Genomic DNA, 20427 nt, shown 5'->3' with positions numbered 1-20427 from the left:
TACAGGGACCATAAAAGTCATGCAGAAAAAATATACTCATTTTCCACGGTCCTACTTCTTCTAGGGCAGAAACAACAATAAAGAATCCAGAGGTGAAAAGAATTAGTACATCATAAAAAATAAGAAAGAAAAATAAAATACTCTCACATTGACTGTCCCTAAGAGAATTTACTCACATACTTAAATTTATGCAGCAAGTTACCAGGAGCCTCATAAATACTGGACCATAATCAAGCTGTAATCATTCATTTTATTTACATCTCATTAGGGGGCACTAAGGTAATGATCTTCCAAAGTTTCACTGCAGCCAATGAAAAAGAAAGTGGACGTCTAAAGTGGGGAGGGCATAAAAAAAAGAATGTCATTTGTCCCAAAGGCACAGAATTATTAAAAACAATCTGTTTTAAAAGTTACTATGTGCTTTTATGCATTCCCGACTCGTAATGCATTCTGAATTATTTTTACTCCACATATTACATGTGAGATAAGACCTGAATCTATCTGACTAAAGAATTTAGACTGAACTTTTAGCATTACGTGAAAAACAAACTTCCATGAAATAGAAGCTGCAATGGTAATTTCCAATACACCTGGAACATTCACCATATATATTACCGCTTGTCATTTACTGTTGGCAAAACCCATGACAACCTTTCAGGCACTTCTATAGCAATTTGAATAGCTGCACAAAAGGGCAGAGCAGCAATATACTGAATAAAACATCCAATGCCTGTATCATTCCTTTGAAGGCTGTCAGCAATACATTTTGAATAACCTGAAATGAAGATCAAAAGGGAATAGAATTCATTTATTTATTTATTTTACCTGAGGCGGTAAATGAAAAGAAACTAAAATTTAGAATTAGGAAAGGTCTAAATTTAGGCAAACATCAATATCTTGTTCGTAAGAGCTATAAAGAAGTTCAATAATTTCATCTAAGTCACAAAGCATGAAACTGAGATATAAAAATAGAGACCAAAGCAACAAAAAGAGTTAAAGAAAAATAAAACCAAATATTCCTTCCTCTGACTTATTTCCTTCTCAGTCACCTTCTGCCTGACCTTCCACACACACAGCTCCTCTGTATTCCAGTCATGAGCAGCATGATGGTTCTCTTCAATAATTTCAGTTTGAGAGTGGTTCCTCCTTCCTGTGGGGATTCCCTGGGAATTGTTCATGTTTCTCCCTCTTTTCTCAAGCACATTTTAAAGACAGGAAGAACGTGAGAGAACTCAAGATGGGAAGAAGAGAAAGAGAGAGGCTGCGTTATTTTGAAACCCTTCTACCTAACACACAAATATCTGTTTGAAATAAACCTTATAAGCCATCTCTTTATACGGATTCAAAGGGACATAGTTGAAGAAACTAGCTGAAGGATAAAAATGCTCGTTAAATAGTTTAGCACATAACCTGCTGTGCAAGTTATGTGCAAGTTTAATGGGCACCATTTAAAAACCTACTATCACTACATAATGATTCTGTATAAAAGATCATTCAGCCAGGAAGATTCTGTATATAGGGTATACCACAATTACCTAATTGACAAATTAAATATGATCCCAATGCTCAGTGTTAGAAGCTTTCCCTACCAAATCAGAGTGGATGCAGCCAGTGCCTTCACCTACCTCCAGCAGACACAGAGACAGCTAAGGGCACGGCATGCGCTTCTCCTTGTCCCTGGATGAGTCATAGTTTACTTTCATCTCTGAGGGGCAGTCCCCACAAAAGGCAGCTGTAAGACCTCAGTTACCTTCATGGGGCACAGGGATTAGGCCCCAAGACGTTCTGGATGAATCTGAAGATAACTTTCCTGATAGTATGTGTAAAGTTGGATTTTGTGGAGCCAACTGAGGACTTATCATTTACAGCATGATTTCCGTGGGGAAATATGTTCATAGGTTTTAAACAACCCCGGAATGTGAACTGTTTAAAAAGAGTTCATTTGAAACTTTAACTGCTTAGGAAAAACCAACTAAAAACCAGACTCTCACTCAACTGGAGCTTTTGCCTCTAAGAATGTCTGTTCAGCCCTTTAAGTCAGTGATATCTTGACCCAATCAGTCTCTGCAAATTTAAGTTTTACTCCTTTATAAAATGGAAGTCATACCATTGTACCTAGCAACCTAGTCAACAGATGTTCATTTACTTTCTTCCTTAAATGACTTTCCCCATATAAAAGTTTTAAAACCCAGGATATGACAGGCAAAATTCTAAGACCTCCCCAATGACTGACACTCTGTATAATCCCCACGGTCCTGTGAACTGTGGGCAGATCCTGTGGAAAGGATGGGATATGACTCCCAAAATGAGGCTATCAGTCAATCATCTTTGACTAAATCAAAAAGGAGATTACACTAGGTGGCTCTAACCTAATCAGGTAAGTCCTTTAAAAGAAGGGGAAGCATCAGAGAACTGCTAACCCCAAAGAACATGGAAGCGCTTCTACTCTCGCAAGGAAATGAATTCTGCCAACAGCCAGGAGAGCTTGGAAGAGGACCCAGCTGAGCCCTGTCTAGGCTTCTGATTGACAGAACTGTGAGATAATACATGGGTGTTTTAAGCCATTAAGTTTATAATAAATTGTTACACAGCAATAAGAAACTAATAACAGAACCTAGGTATAAGTCTATGTGTTTCTATAACTACAGGGAGATGAGACATCAGAAGTAATACAAAGTACATATTAGAAAGCGAAAAAGAAAAATAAGGCAAGAGATTTGAGATTTATTATGCCACTCTGGTAGATGCTTTATAAATGTTGTCTCTTGCAAAGAAAGTCTTATTTAGAAAGAAGTTCTAGAGCCTTCTATTATGCTAATATACTTTCAATTTAAAGCCAAGTTACTACCAATTTAATAACATTTTTAATTTCATTATCATGATTGAAAGCAAGGGTATCATCTAAAGATGGCTTTGAAGATTTTTATTTTAAAAGTACTCAGAACCACCACCAAAGGGTAGAAGATGGTGACCTTTGAAGCAACTTTACAAACCCGTTTGTTTATCATATAAGGCAATTCAGGACCAACTTGCAGTACTGGTGGAAAATTAAACACATTATTTTAGAAACAGATGCAATGCAACTCATGTGGCCATGCAGAAAGCAAATAGCTGCACCAAAGATATTCAGAAGGAAATAGGAATTGTAAACTATTTTTTAAAAATAGCAAAATCAGAAAATACCCTCGAAATGTTTTAAAACTAGGAATTTTACACGTCAACTCTAACAAATCAATAGAGCAAAGAACGGGGAGATGGTTACCTGTACTTTAAGAAGTCTCAACCTCTATGTCAAACCCAAGATTGTTATAAGAATGCTTGAGATTCCTTAAAAATGGAAATTGACTCATCAGAGAAGACCAGTGAATACAAAACACACCTTGCATAATGATTTTGAAATTTCTTTCATTTATCATGCTCTAACTTTGATTCTTTGGGGGAAAAAAGGCATGCTCATCAAGTGTAGCCTCAAAACCTTTCAGAACGCTACCACAGGGAAAAGGCAGCACTTTTTTTCGCTGAACACACATTTCCCAGCACTGTAATTGATATCCTAGTGTTCCTGAAGAGATAATAAAATTATTCAAATAAATACTAAAAAGTTTTAAGTACTATTAGTAATAATTCTTGCTTAAACACAAAAGTTGGAGAAAGGCATTCACCAAGCTGTTCCATTAAACAAATGAGCCTGTTGAAATTTGCTACTATCTTAATTTTATATAAATAGATTTCAACTGTATGCTATAGAGTACATGGGATAACGAAAAGATCTATTTAGGCTCCTGAAACTTCCCTGTACTCAATGCTTGCTTAAAAAAAATTAACTTTATAAAATGGGGAAGCACCTTTAAATATTCCTTTATCTCAGGGCCTTGTTTAATAACCTGTACACTAAACACAATGAGAACATGCATTTTTGCTAGAAATACTAACCATAGCTTCCATTTATAAATGGTTGCTCTGGGCTACCACCCAATGTGCATTATCACATTTAATTCAGTGAGGTAGATACTATTATCAACCTCATTTCACCGGTAATGAAATTAAGACATAGAAGGGATACTTAACTTTTCTAATGTTAAGTGGGTTGATAAGAGGTAGAATGGAGATGGCCAGTGCTATGGTTTGAATGTTTGCATTTCACCAAAATCCTACCCCCCAATATGATGGTATTTGGAAGGGGAAGGTGATTAGGTCATGTGGCAGGACCCTCATAAATGGCATCAGTACCTTATAAAAGAGGCCCCAAAGAGCTGCCACACCCCTTTCTACCTACAGCCATATGAAGAAGACATAGCAAGAAGATGGCCATCTATGAACAGGAAAGAGCCCCTCACCAGAATCTTCCAGCACCTTGATCTTAGACTTCTCAGTCACCAGAAATGTAAGAAATAAGTTTCTGTTTATAAGCCACCCAGCTTATATATTTTGTTATACTTGCCTGAATGGACTAAGAAAGTCAACCTCCAAAGGCAAAAGAACTAATCCTTATGTTATACTATCATTCATGACATAACTACCCTTATTCAAACATTGGAAGCATGACATCGATCATGGCTACTTTATCATGACAGGAAGAGATCAATAAACATTTTTTTGTACACATGTATGCCAATAATCAAACAGCTTTAGATCTGGAAGGGTACAACATGCTCACTCTCTCTTTCACCCACATTCTCATATCAGCATCAACAGTGATATTTCACACTGCATGACAGCCACTAGCTAGTTATACCTAAATAACTTTTAAATTTGCAAGTCAGACAATGGTTATATTAATTTTTAAGCATAAAGTAACCTGACATAATCAATCCAAGACCAAGGAGGTGGTCATGAAGAAACCTAACTGGGATTCCCCAACAGCTTTTGTCATCAAGCTAAATTACCATGGGTACTATCAGAAACATGCACATACAAACATGTATGACAGTCTGGAATATAGAACATAATAACTATATGCTTATCAATGTTGTTTAGAATATGTTGTGAAAGCTAATTTTTTATCATAGTCTTCCAGTATAATTTTTCAGAATAGACATACCTAGTTTTATTGTGCTCTGCAGAAAATTGCATTTTTTAACAAATTGAAGATGTATGGTAACCCTGCATAGAGCAAATCTATCAGCACCATCTTTCCAACAGCATGTACTCACTTCATGCCTCTATGTCACATTTTGGTAATTCTTCCAATATTTCTAATGTTTTCATTATTATTACATCTTTTATGATAATCTATGATCAATGATCTTTGATGTTATTTTTATCACTGTTTTGGGGCACCACAAACAGTGTCATATAAGACAATGAACTTAACTGATAATTGTTCTATGTGTTCTGACTGTTTGATCGACCAGCCGTTCCCCCATCTCTTTCCTTCTCCATGGGCCTTTCTGTTTCCTGAGACACAACAACATTAAATTTGGCCATTTAGTAACCCTACAATGGCTTCTAAGTGTTCAAGTGAAAATGGAAGAGACACACATCTCTCATTTTCAATCAAAAGCTAAAAACGATTATGTTTCATGAGGAATGTCAAAAGCCAAGACGGAAAGCTAGACCTTCTGCACCAAACAGGTAGCGAAGTTGTAAATGCAAAGGAAAAGTTCTTGAAGGAAATTGAAAGTGCTACTCCAGTGAACACACAAATGGTAAGAAAGTGAAACAGCCTTCTTGCTGATATGAAGAAAGTTTTGGTGGTCTGAATAGAGGATTATATCAGCCACAACATTTCCTTAAGCCAAAGCCTAATCTAGAGCAAAGTCTTAATTCTCTTCAATTCTACGAGAGCTAAGAGGGGTGAGGAAGCTGTGTAAGATGGAAGCTAGCAGAAGTTTAAGGAAAGACGCCATCTCCATACCATAAAAGTGCAAGCAGCAAGTTCTGATGTAGAAGCTGCAGCAAGATATCCAGAAGATCTAGCTACACTAAACAACATGTTATCAATGTAGACAATACAGCCTTCTGGGACTTTCATAGCTAGCGAGGAGAAGTCAATGCCTGACTTCAAAACTTCAAAGGACAGCCTGACTCCCTCTTTAGGAACTAATGCAACTGGTGACTTTAAGTTGATGCCAATGCTCATTTACCATTCTGAAAATCCCAAGGCCCTTCAAAATTATGGTAAATCTGCTCTGCCTGTGCTCCATACATAGAGCAACAAAGCCTAGATGACAGCATATCTGTTCACAGCATAATTTATGAAATATTTTAGGTTCACTGTTGAGACCTAGTGCTCAGAAAAAAAGATTCCTCTCGAGATATTACTGCTCTTTGGCAACATACCTTGTCACCCAAGAGCTCTATTGAAGATGTACAAAGAAATTGATATTGTTTTCATGCCTGCTAACAAAACATCCACTCTGCAACCCATGGATTAAGGAGTAATTCTGATTCCCAAGTTGGGTTATTTAAGAAATATTTTTCCTAAGTTTATGGCGGCTATAATGATTCCTCTAATGGATCTGGGCAAAGTACATTGAAAACCTTCTAAAAAGGTCATAAAAAGAGGTCAAAATAGCAACCTAAACAGAAGTGTGGAAGAAATTGATTCCAACTCTCACAGATGACTGGGAGGGTTTCAAGACTTCAATGAAAAAAGGAACTGCAGATATAGTAGAAATAGAACGAAAATTAGAAATGGAGCCTGAAGATGTGACTGAATTGTTAAAATTTGATGTTAAAACTTGAATGGATGAAGAGTTGCTTCTTATGGATGAGAAAGAAAGTTATTTCTTGAGGTAGAATTTACTCCTAATGAAGATGCTATGAACAACGTTGAAATAAAACCAAAGGATTTAGAATATTACACAAACTTAGTTGATAAAGCAATAGCAGGGTTTGAGAAGGCTGACTCCAATTATGGAAGAAGTTATACTGTGGATAAAATGCTACCAAATAGCATTGACTGCTATGGATAATCTTTTGTGAAAGAAAGAGTCCACTGCTGTGGCAACCTCATTGTTGAATTATTTCAAGAAATTGGCACAGTCACCGCAACCTTCAGTAACCACCACCCTGATGAATCAACAGCCATCAACATCAAGGCAAGACCCTCCAGCAGCAAAAAGATTATGACTTGCTGAAGGCTCACAGGATCTTGTTTTTTAGCAATAAAGTATTTTTAAATTAAGATATGTGTGTGTGTATATACATACATATACATATATACATATATATACACATACATATATATTTATGAGACAGGGTCTTGCTCTGTTGCTCAGACTGGAGTGTAGGAGCATGATCATAACTCACTGCAGCCTCGTACTCCTAGGATCAAGGCATCCTCCTGCCCTAGACTACTGTGTAGCTGGGACTGCAGGTATGAGCCACCACAGCCTGGCTAATGTACATTGTTTTTGTAGACAGAATGCTATTGCACACTTAATAGACTACAGTATAGTTTACACATAGCTTTTATATGCACTGGGAAATCAAAAAAGTTGTGTGCTGCTTTATTGTGATATTTGTTTTATTGCAGTCACTTTACGGCAGTGGTCTGGGGAAAAAAAAAAACAAAAACCCAGCAATATCTCTGAGGTATCTTGTATACAAATAAATCCAGATTTGTTGTAAAATAAAACAGTATATTCATCACAAATGTTTTATATATAGATCTAGAAAATTTATCTGTAACAGAAATGACAAAAGATTACCTCAGAAAACAATTACAAATTGATACAAATGACCCCAGATACATAATGGCAAAATATGAATTGGTATTTCTCAGAAAAGAATAACTAACTAGCAAAATACAATGAAAAGGTAAAACGTTGTTAGTGAAATTCAAATTAAATTAACAATGAGATATCACTTTACACAGAAATTGGCAAAATATAAACATTGTTAAAATACATATTTTTGGCAAGGATATGGAAAAAGATGGTACTTTGCAAACAGTTTGCAAGTGGAATACGTGTATATATTATTTCCTCTCTGGTTCAGTTTATTTTCTATTAACCTGTTTTCCAGTTTACTAATCCTGTCTTCCACTGTGTTTAATTAACTTTAAACCCATCCAGAGAGTTCTTAATTTCAGATACTATGCTTTTCAGTTTTCTATTTGTTTCTCTCTTCACAAATTTCAATTCTCTGATGAAATTTTCCAAATTTCCATCTGTTTTTCTTTTACCTATTTTGTTAACTGATTAATATAAGTTAACATTAATTATGTATTTTTAAGTCCATATGTTCTAACTCCAATCTCTGGAGCAAAATTGCAAATGCACATTATATTGTCTGTCTACTGTCTTTTGGTCACATGTTTTTGTCTTTTAGAATATCTATAACTTTTAATTATCAGGTATTATACTAAAAAACTGAAAAGGCTCTAAATCAGTGTTCCCCAACCTTTATTTTTCACTATTATCTCTATAAAGAACTTTAATAGACTTTTTGTTACTAATTTCCCCAACCTGCCAGTTGTATCTGTTTATGTGTTGTGGGTTTTTGAAGGTCCACAAATCACTGTACCATTTAATATTTGTTTCACACTGGAAGAACCAATCTTGTGCCTACTGAGAACACATGCTCTAAAGGATGTTATTTTCTACAAGAGGGTGTTACTCTTCCTCATATAGGCAGATAGAGAATTGATCACCTTAGTGCAGTCATGGCTGAGCTGAGTAAAGGCTGGTTACGGTTCAGGTATAACTTGGTGTATCTCAGATTCGGCCCTGTTCCCAGGTTTTCCCTGGGTTTTCAACAGACAGCCTGGTGGACCTTTGCCCAACTCCTCTTTAAACTCATGAATAGAACACAATCATTACCATTGTAAAGCCAATTAGACAGTGTTCTTCTGATTAAAAGATACAGGTCCATTAAATTCCGGCAATTTTTTCATATCTTGAAGCCATTTTCTCTTTCTGGATAGCAAGAAGCTTTCACTTAAATATGAACAAGGCACTATGTGACAAAATTACCATGTAACTAAAAACCAATTTTCAGTTATATGGCATTTTAAATTTTAATATTTCTTATACTAGGGAGCATATTTTACACTAACAGTCTAGATTTATCTTAATAAGGCAGTAAAAGCATTATAAGAAAAAACATCTACCATAATCATTATGTAATGCTGATTTGGAATAAGATTCTAGGCAATATGACAGTTCTAAAAGAGGTAAAAGTATTGAAAAAGGTGAAAAATTATCATTATTTGTACATAATTTTGTATCTAGAAAACCAAACAGACTCAACTGAAAAACTATTAGAATTAATATAAATATAACAGCTAAGTGCCCTGAATGGATCCCACAGAAAAATATAAAATTCCAGTTTTGCTGCCAATGACAACAAGAAAAGGTGGTATAAAAGAAGAAACTATTAACATAAAAACAAAACTAAAATAAAGGGTATAATCATAAAAAAATATGGGTTAACTACAAGGAAAAGAAAACACTTTAGAAAGAGAAACTAATACCAGAATCATTAGACTGAATATAAAAAATGTTTCTGGAAGAAAAAATTAGATGCCACAGGATGACACTTTCTCCTAAGTAAAATGTATACTTTTAATATGCACCTTAGGGAAATACAGCATGAAGGGAGAACCTCAACCATGATTCTAACTTACCTAGAAAAAAATGAATAGTTGAAAAAAATGAGTAGATGAACGTACTACATAAAAACCTGTAAAAGAAGAGCAAATATAGAAACATATGTCTACCCTTGTTAAAAATAGTGTAGTAATGGCTAAAGAAAATACAGACCACAAAACCTGAAAGAATTTCTGTGAGGAGAGGAGGATTACTAAGTAATTGGAGGAGAAAGTGGTTAGCAAAAGGGGAAGAAAATGTTATCCTACTATGCACCAAAATAAATGCCCGATCCATTACACCATTAACATTTGTTCCATGCCTACTAGGTGCCATATACTTTGAGGTCTTGGAGATTCAGAGATGGGAAGACAGTCTGATAGTGCAATAAATGAAGCAGTACATATGAGCGTGCACTGAGGTACCCTTTAGTCCTTCTGGTGAGAGGGATTTTGTTCTCCTAATTTGAATGAGTACTTATGAAGTTTAGAAGGGGCCATGTGTGTCCTGTTCACTGTACCTCCCCAATATTTTTCACACCTAAATGTGCAGTGCTTGACATACAGTAGGGGCTTAAATATTTATTAAATAGTAAAGTACCGTAAGTGTTTTAAAATAACATGAGTACCTCTCTGTATTTCCCATGGTAAAGCCTGGATTCTTGTCCTTCCACCTCCAATGAGTGAAAGCTTACTGGAATTTGTCCTTTGCAGAGTGATTAAAGAGAAAGAAAGCAGTGGGAGATATAATTAAAGCCGCACTGTAGTGAGGAGGAGAGAGGGCATCCAGGAGAAAGGGCTGAGTAATAAGGAGTTCAGTGCTGAAGGTTATCTAAGAAAAAGATGATGCTGGGAAAAGAAATTTTAAAAAGAGTTTTTCATTGATTTATAATTTGAAGTCATTTGTATTGTTATTTAACATACCCACATAAAGGGTAATATTCGTCAGGTATTGTTTAAGGTGCATTTACAAATATTACTTCATTTAATCTTTGTAACAACCCATGATTGTCAGGCCTCTGAGCCTAAGCTAAGCCATCATATCCCCTGTGACCTGCATGTACACATCCAGATGGACTGTTCCTGCCTTAACTGATGACATTGTCTTGTGAAATTCCTTCTCCTGGCTCATCCTGGCTCAAAAGCTCCCCCACTGAGTACCTTGTGACCCGTACTCCTGCCCGTCAGAGAACAACCCCCTTTGACTGTAATTTTCCTTTACCTACCCAAATCTTATAAAATGGCCCCACCCCTATCTCCCTTCCCTGACTCTCTTTTCGGACTTAGCCCGCCTGCACCCAGGTGATTAAAAGCTTTATTGCTCACACAAAGCCTGTTCAGTAGTCTCTTCACAGGGACGTACATGAAAATGATAAGCATGCCATTATGACCATTTCCATTGTACAGGTGAAGAGAGTAAGGACCAGAGATGTTAAGTAACTTGTCCAAGATCATGCAACTATTACATGGAAAAGCCAGGAATTAAACTCAGACTGTTATAAATATGTTCCCATTGATAGAGTCCATTTGAAACACATGACCCTGCCCAACGCAAATTCACACTTTCTCGTTTTGAAACCAGAATAACACAAAGACAAGAAAATAGGGGAACTGTCAAAGAAGTGATAAAGACTGAGTTTGGATCCTCTGTCAGTTACTAGCTTTGAGACCCTGGACAGGCTAAATAATCATTCTGGGCCTTGGTGTTCACATCAGTTAAATGGAGACACCACAACCTGACCTTAGGATTAAAGACTGGGCGCCGAGTGCGATGGCTCATGCCTGTAATCCCAGCACTTTGGGAGGCAGAGGTAAATGGATTATTTGAGGTCAGGAGTTTGAGACCAGCCTGGCTAACATGATGAAACCCCGTCTCTACTAAAAATACAAAAATTAGCTGGGTGTGGTGGCACACATCTGTAATCCCAGCTACTTGGGAGGCTGAGGCAGGAGAATTGCTTGAACCCGGGAGGCGGAGGTGGCAGTGAACTGAGATTGTGCCACTGCACTCCAGCCTGGGCAACAGAGCGAGACTGTCTCAAAAAAAAAAAAAGAAAGAAAGAAAGAAAGAAAAAAGTCTATGGAGAAGCATCTGACAACTGAGGAGCACAGTTAGAACAATGGTGGCAAATGCAGCTACAAGTGCTTTGGCAATAAGTGGGACACTGAGTACTGAGCTGACAGGCTTCCCTCAGGCTTCTCCGGGACAGAAAGGGAAGAAAGGACACACTAGAACGACAGCTGAGGGAATTTAAAGGAGGGATAACCAGGTTGGAAAAGGGCAAAAGGTCAGATTCAGAGGGTAGTAATGAGGTTGCAAGGTTCCAATATAATTGGCCTCCATAGGTACCCTAGAAGATGGTAATTACTCTCATAAAAAAGCTAATGATAATACACCACCTTCTACGCTAAAAACATCATACCACATAGTATCAAAATCTAACGACTAACCGCAAGTTGAGAAATGGGGATGCCTGTCTCAGACCTTTACTTGTATTCTCTGCATGTTAAATGAATTCAAAGAATCGTTACTGGGAATATTTTTCTTGTAGTACTGGTAGTGGCATTAGGAGTGAGCAAACATCCACTGGTGCCAAGTGTAAGCCAAGAACTGTGAAAAGCATTTTTGATACACTCTCTCACGAAAGCCTCAGATTGGTCCTATTTCCACAATTCCCATTTTAGCAGAGGCAAAGTCATACAGCTACTAAGTGGCAGAACTAGATTGGAAGACATCCTTACCTACTGAAAAAACACTGTGGACGTGATCCTAACTATAGTAATTATCACTTTCAAATGCATATGTCTTTGGGAAACATATTTACAGAAATTATAGAATCACCCAGTAAAGAGTACCATGTTACCACTGACGGCAGAGACCTTTTTACTCATCAGAGCTCATGGTTTGACAACATTCTCTGCCACCCCACCCTTTGAATTCCCCCTTTGCTGCCAGGTTAGTTTACCTGTAGCAGATGACACAGCTAAGAGCAAGGCTGGGTTTAGAAAAAGAGACAGCCAAAGCCAAATACCAAAAAATGCAAAGCTTAGGTTTATGCAGTTAATCCACTAAAAGTAATCTGCACCAATTCTTACTCTTAGTATATGCTATGCCAGTCTTCCTCAAACTGCAATCTGAAAAAAAAAAATTCAGGGATATATGAATACTTAATACATTTTTAAAAATTTTGTTGCCGTGTCGTTAACAGGCTTACAAAACAGGAAATGTATGATTACTATCCTTTAACTTCAGACTGCCCCATGATTTCAGTGCCATGTTTCATATGTGCTAATAATCAAGCTGGCTAAATATTACTACTTCAATTTCCCTGAGCTAATGAGAAAAGATCAGTGGTCTAATACACAAATGAAGTGAGGACCAAATGATATTATGGAATACCATGGAATCATCACTAAAGGCTTTGTATCAGAAAAGTTATAGGAGAATTGAGATTGCCTATGATAACTATACCAACTCAAAAAATAAAATAAAATAAAATAAAATAAAATAAAGGAAGCCTCTGCCAGAGTAGTCAATAGTATATTCACATTGTAAAGGGTGATTTAGTCTCAGCAGAGTATCATCATTAATATGCAATATTAAATTCATATTGTTACTTTACATGCTACTTTTTTTGCAATTATGTTGTATTTATTTTAAATTGTTTTAGCAGAAAAACTGTTAAACACAGAAGTTTATATCTGACTTTTTTCTTTATAAACAAAGTAGCATTAAAGCCAGGTGTGGTGGCTCATGCCTGTAATCTCAGCTACTCAGGAGGCTGAGGTTGGAGGATCACTTGAAGCCAGGAGTTCAACACCACCCAGGGCAACACAGCAAGACCTCATCTCAAAAAAATAGATAAAAGCAAAAAAAGTATCATTAAAATAAAAACTGTATAAGTCAACATTGTGGGTATGGATTTTTTTCTTTTAAAGACATTCATACATTATTTAAATTAGAAGAATGCCTCTAAATATAAAGACAAACTACTACCACTTGGTTTGGGAAGCACTGAACTCAGCAATCTCCACATGTGGCCACTTTGCCATTAGGTACTCCATAATGAACAAGTGTCAGGCAGATCACAGTACCACAAGAAGCCTAAGATTTAGGAAGAGGGAGAAGGTCCATGAGAGAGCAACATGCACACATGTTTATATACAATTTCAGGGAATTCACAGAGTTCAGAAAGCTATCCACTGATTCCAGGATAAGAATACCCAAACAAGAGAGAATAAGAATAGTTTGTAAGAGGTGCATTATTTAATTAATAAGGAGAAGATGATGGCATGCAATCAAGAGAAAAATAAGTTGGGACCAAAAATAATTTTTTTCCTGCAGCAATAAAAGAATGTAGAACAATTATTAATAGGTTTTGCTGATGGAAGTTGAAATGCATGTATCTGCAATTCCAAATCTCATGATCTCACTTCCAGTGAGTCAAATTATGAAAACAGTTCGTCACCACTGAAATATTTACTAGAGATGTTTCCATATAAAAGGGGCATATAAGTGCAATGAAGGCATAGGGAGTTTATCAGAACTGTAAGTACTTAGCTTACTTTAGTTAAAGAGATATGAACAGAATCTATGGAAGACTAAATGTAGTAATAAATAATAAACTTGAGATATGCAAAAGTAAGGTGTTGAAGAGGCAAAAAATCTCTGGTTTCCCAATGTCTATGGGTTTCAAAATATGATTCTTATTTAGGTGAGAATTAAAGGCTATAACTATGAGGAGATTAGAAATAATTATGAAAAGCTATGTTTACTAGATGCCAAAGAACCACTAAATAATATTTTGAAAGCCCCAACACAATGTTTTGTTGAGACTTATTTTCACCAAGTACAGACTTCAGATGAATAAAAAGATTTAATTGCTAAATTTCATGGTTTGTCAAAGAAAATATCAGGTTTCACTCTATCAAAGACTAATAGAAAAATCAGAATAAAAACTGTGTAAATTATTTACATAGCTTAAGTAGATGTCAAAGATTGCAGACATGCTCTGAGGAACAGAACTAATCATCAACCCATGACCCACGCATAGCTAATTACCAACCCCAATATGGAGAAAACTTTCATCATCTCTTCAGTTTATAATGCAGCTTTCAGATCAAGGTTTCATCATTTCTGGCCTTAAATAAGAATCAGCCATGCAAGGAATTTAATTCAAAGCATAAGCACAATTTCAACACGTGTTTATCTCATATCGTTTTTTCTCTACTTTTCCCTTTCAATTTTCATGAGAAAACAAACTGTTATTTCTTGAAATATACAACCTGTGGGGTAGCCTTGAGATCTCAGTCACCTCCACTTCCACAATCACATGTTATCCAGCTAAAATAAACTAATGAAACTGAAGTCTTCTATGGAATAGCCATCTTATGAATTTACTGTTTGAGTAAGTAAACTAGAAGATAAAACAAGCCATTCATTTCTAGGACTGAACCCCTCTCTCCATGCCCAATTGGGAATTCCCAATGAAAAGGCCAACCTCATATAAACTGATAAGGTTTTGGCATGTTTCTGATAACGGTGACAGACCTGATGAAGACTTTTTACCTACTCATCCTCAGAAACCTCTCAAATAATTCAAATTGCAGTTTGACAAACAGATTATCTATAAAAAGCCCTCATTACTTAAGATTTTATTTAGAGCAATTCAGAAGGGATCGTTCACTGAAGGAGGAAGTCAGTGTGATGTTTCTTACCAGCTAAGCTATTGAAGATATACTTCATACCATTCCTCCTCACCCCTGAAAAAACAAAACTGGATACTAACTATAATTCCCTGAAGATAACGTGGTTTCAGGGCTCCTTCCATGTACTTTTAAAGCTTTGGTGAGATCACACTACGGGATCACCAGGTGTCAGTATTATTCTGGTTGTAATTTCAGTAGGAAACTATTATAGTCCTGCGCTGGGGAAACTGGATGCTATTTCCTCTTTTTTTTTAATACAGTGTACTAATATATACATGCCTTTCAGGCAGCAACGCTATCTTCAATATGAGCTAAATATTTTTTGTGATGGAGGCCAGGTATTGCATGAAAAAAGAAAACACCATTTCCAAACTTTCTAGATTGCCATGGAATAACTAGAAATCAATAAATGAAATCCAACATAATGTCTAGCTCAATCTTGTTTCATCAAGTGACAACTATAATAACTTCATTAGAAATATATTAAGAAAACTGTTAGAATCAGAGTTAGCTCGGCTCCTTTCACAAACCTCATTGCAACATCTCTCCCTCCCAGCAAAAGATACAGGAAAGAAGAAATTTCCACAAACCCAGTACAGAAATTCCACCCTCACAACAAAGAATTAGGTTCCTGATAAGCAACAAGAAAAATAAACTCACAATTGGAAAAATTAATAGCTTGAGGGAAAAACAGGGTACTAGGACCTGCGATCAGAAATAAACCTTTAAAAAACCCTTGTAAATGTCTGAAACTCCATAAAAATAAGGATAAACATATTCAGTGAGAAAATATGTCATTTTATATACTTCGGTAAGTATAAATGCATAGCATGAATTGCCTTCTCAGTTCCCCAAGCAGTAGATACTACTTAGGGTCTCATATCATTGTGACTTTAAAATGAGACACTTAGAAACTGACTTGGCCTTGTTACAGATAAAGTAAGTTCTCAGAAGCTATATTTCCCCTAAATTTGGTCCTCCAAGAAAATCTTCATCTCTGAGGGTGGGCTGTAAATCCAAAGATGCAGAGAAACATGAATAATTCAAGACAGATAAAGAAGCTTTACAAAAACCTTTATTTACCCTACGCAGCTGGAAGAAGAGTAGATACCCTCCACAGGACCAAGTATACAAGCTCAGTTCTGCCACAACAATTCTATCCATCTCTGCTTCTCCTTCCTCAAAGGTCCAGCACTGTGTAATCCTAAAGCAGGCACACCCATTCTTATTTCCTCTCAATCCACGATGTTCTGTCAGAGAATCGCTCAGTTGCTGAAAGACAGTGAACCCAGATAGAATGGTATAAAGGCAGCTCTTTACTTTCCTGCTTCACACATTCCTGAAAGCATGTCAAAGGGTCAAATATATATTGTCAGGGAAGTTTTTATTCCTTGAGACATAAAAAATTTTAAACTTCCTAATTCTTCCTCATATACTCCTCATTGATATACTTCCAATCTGTTCAAATCCTTTACCTTTGTTCTTCTCATTCACAATCATATACACACACCACTGGACCAAATACAATGAACGTCTTACTGAAGCTAAAGATCAGACCTTTTGGAAAGCCAGGTAATTTCCCTGTGGTGTCAGCTGCATTTAGTTTGTGGGAACTACACTTCTTACCAGATAATCAGCACATACTTCTGTTTTCTACTCACCTTTCTGAAACAACAGTAAAAAGCAATGAAGTACTCAAAACAGTGTTTTACTGCCAAGATGTTGTTGCTGCTGTAACTCAATGTGAGGTAGCAGAAAATGGTAATGGCCAACACTATCTATGGTATTAGATAAAAGCGAAATTTGATGAAATAAGGAAGTAGCTAAAGGGGGCACAGTTTCAGTCGTCTCTTCCTGCTCTCATTCAAGATGCTTTGGGGAAAAGATACCATGGCACATAGCAGACCCATTGTTCTTTAGGTCTTGGAAAGTAATTCTCTTTTCTTCATTCCACTTGGTTGGCCTTTATTTCTGAACATACTATATCATCTACAGGATAGTGATTGGGGTTCCTATGGAAAGGTCTCTGTATGAGGTAGAATTGGCTGCAGATAACTGGGAAGCCAAATAAGTGATTAAGCAAAATAGTTTATCGCTTCATTAGGTAAAAGAAGTTCAGAAGCAGGGGTGGTTTGGTAGCTACCAAATCATCAGACTCAAGCTACTTCCACCTTGCAGTTCCATCATCCTTAGCATGTAGAGTCTACCTTCATGTTTATTTCATGGACCAATACAGCTGCTGGAGCTCTGGCCAACACAAATTCATTCCAGATAAAGGAGAAAAGGAAAAAGGTGCCCAACCAGCTGTCTATCCCTTGAATTTAATTCCCTCTGCTTACATCTCATCAGCCAGCAGATAGTAACATAACTGTATCTAGCTGTGAGAGAGGGAGGCTGATAAGTATATCCTTTTAGCTGAAAACATTACCATCCTGACAAAAAGCAGAGCTTTATCATTAAAGCAAAGGGGAAGTACAGTGTGATGGTTAATTTTAGGTGTCAATTTGACTGGATTAAGAAACATCTGGAGAACTGGTAAAGCATTATTTCTGAGTGTGTCTTTGAGGGTGTGTCCAGAGGAGACTGATTGACATATGAGTCCATGAACTAAGTGAAGAAGATTTTCTCTCAATGTCGGCAGGCACTACCCAATCAGATGGTGGCCCAGACAGAACAAAAAAGACTGAGGAAAGGTGATTTCCTCCTCTCCATTTCCTAGAGGTGGGACATGTGTCTTCTCCTGCCCTTGAACATCAGAACTCCAGACTCTCCACCCTTTGGAATCCAGGACTTACCCTAATGGCCCCCAAGGTTCTCAGGCCTTCTGCCTCAGACTGATAATTACACCATTAGTTTCCCTGCATCTGAGGCTTTCAGACTTGTATTGTGCTGAACCATGCTACTGTCATTCCAGGGTTTCTAGCTTGTAGACAGCTTGTTGTAGGACTTCTCAAGCTCCATAATCATGTAAACACATTTCCCTAATCAATCCCCTCTTATCCATCCATCCATCCTCTATTGATTCTCTCTGGAGAACACAGCTAATACACACAGACTTTGGGTTAGCTGATGCTTCTCCCAGTCACCCAGCCAGTTTTAATTCTGGGCAAGAGCATGAAGTCCTTCACTTCAGGGGAATCATCATTCACCAAGGAGACACCACTACTGAGCGGGCAATGGCCTTCTAGCACAGAAGAGCACTCTTGCCCAGAGTGTCCCTCTGCATCTTTCCAGAAGCACTCAACATGGAAAAAGAATTAAGGCTGGTATGACCCCTAGTCCTGACCAACCCCTATTTCCCCAGCTAATCTCCACAACATACAAAGCTGTGCTCTGAAGGTGCATCTATAAGTTTGAGAAACCAGACCACATTCTCAGAGAAACAATGTTATAAACAGCTGGGAGGTTTCTAGGTTTACCCACAAAGGCCAATTTAACAGGTAATGTAGTAGAGATGGTATTTATTTGCCATTATTGAAAGTGGAACTGTTTGGATTTTGATAAACTAGATTTTGCCTTAATGAGCTGTGGAGGAAAGCCCGGATTGAGCGTGAAAGAAACAGCAGCAAAGAGCAACTCGTACTTCTTTCTGACTTTGCAAACTGGCAAATGAACCCTTCAATTGTCCTCTCCCCAACAAGTAATTTGTCTTATCCCTGTGTTTTTCCACAGTCCTTTCACTCTCTATCAATGGGACTATGGACCCCATTCTGAAGAACTCAGTAAGAAAAGAGGAGACATTCCACAAACCACAACATGCTCAATTGGGCCATGTCTACTGGCAGATAGAATCTGCCTTCTAGACTTGAGCAGTAGGGATGAGAACAGAAGGGGTATTATGCACTGAATTGTGCCCCTGGAAAGCTGTTGAAGTCCTAACACCTGGTACCTTTGAATTTGACCTTATTTGGAAATAGGGTCTTTGCTGATGATCAAGGTCAGATGGAGTCATTAGGGTGGACACTAAATCAATATAACTGTGTCCTTATAAAAAAGTGGAATTTTGACACAGGGATAGACGTACAGACCAGAGAAATGTCATGTAAAGATAAAAGCAGAGATGGAGATGATGCTTCTGAAAGCCAAGGAAAGCAAAAGATTGCCCACAAACCACCAGAAGCTAGAAGAGGCATGGAACAGGTTCTCCCTCATAGTCCTCAGTAGGAATCGAACCTGCAAACACTATGATCTTGGATTTCTAGCTTCTGGAATGTGAGATAATAAATTTCTGTTGTTCAAGCCACCTGATATGTGATACTTTGTCATGGCAACCCTAGGAAACTGATACATGAGGCAGATGGCGCATCTTCAAGCACCTTCCTGGGTCCAGTACATTGCTTCCTTTCCTCTCAAGTGTCTGTCCACATCACTGTGTGTGACTCTCTGCCTACTCTCTGTCTCCACCAAGTTACTTCTCAAGCCCCTTCAGCCACCATCATTTACACACATGGGGCTCCAGCCGTGCAGACTTCAGGGGTGGTTCCAGGCATATTCCTGGTTGAGAGTAAGGGACAGGCACATGGCCCCTCCATCCTGATAGGGATCATATACTACTATGAGCAAGAAAATGAGAAGTCAGATGCTGCTAAATTGGGTACCTAAATTTCAAAACCTGCACATGTGATGTTAACACCTGGATATGTAGCTGTCAAAGGCTTATATAGAAATAGAAACCAACTGAGTGAAACAAGAGTACAAGTAAATAATTACATATCTGGAGGTATTACAACTGCTCACTTCTGAGGATTCAACAAGGTCAAATATCTCAGTGTATTCTATGGGTCACTGTCTCTTAAATGTAATTCTCTGCTTCCATAACATCTCTCTTTCCTTGGCCATCTTGCCACAGGATCTGTCTGGAAGACATAGGAAATAGAAGAGGCTAAAAAGCTGGAGAAGAAAGCCAAACCCTTTAATGATAAAAGAAAACGAGAGGAAATCTCACTTCCATGCATATCCATTCTCCAGATTTTATTTTTTTAAATTAAAAAACATAGGAAGGGAATCACATAACGAATACCTACCTGTATATTCACTACCCAACTTGATAAATCATACATAAACATAGCTGAAGGCTCTGGCAACTCTCTCTGATCTCAGTTTCCCTCTCTCCCCTCAGACGTAACCACTGATGTAAATTTGGTAATTATTCTCTAGCATGTCTTTATACTTTTAGTACAAAG

General features: G+C 37.4%; 1 protein-coding gene across 16 annotated transcripts in view, besides 1 other annotated feature; it reads right to left on the bottom strand.

The window, feature by feature from the left end:
- Window positions 1–20427, bottom strand: part of MAST4 (microtubule associated serine/threonine kinase family member 4) — a 573201-nt gene that overhangs the window by 222331 nt on the left and 330443 nt on the right. The window lies entirely within an intron of this gene.
- Window positions 988–1282: a silencer, noted in NCBI's record as "tiled region #14441; HepG2 Repressive non-DNase unmatched - State 22:ReprW". NCBI's record gives its function as "represses a minimal TATA promoter and a strong SV40 promoter by Sharpr-MPRA in HepG2 cells {active_cell/tissue: HepG2}" and the evidence as "EXISTENCE:reporter gene assay evidence [ECO:0000049][PMID:27701403]".

The sequence above is a fragment of the Homo sapiens genome, chromosome 5 (assembly GCF_000001405.40).
Source record: "Homo sapiens chromosome 5, GRCh38.p14 Primary Assembly".
In the NCBI taxonomy this organism is placed as follows: domain Eukaryota; kingdom Metazoa; phylum Chordata; class Mammalia; order Primates; family Hominidae; genus Homo; species Homo sapiens.
The sequence above is the reverse complement of the archived record's forward strand: the minus strand, read 5'-3'. Positions and strand labels throughout refer to the sequence as shown.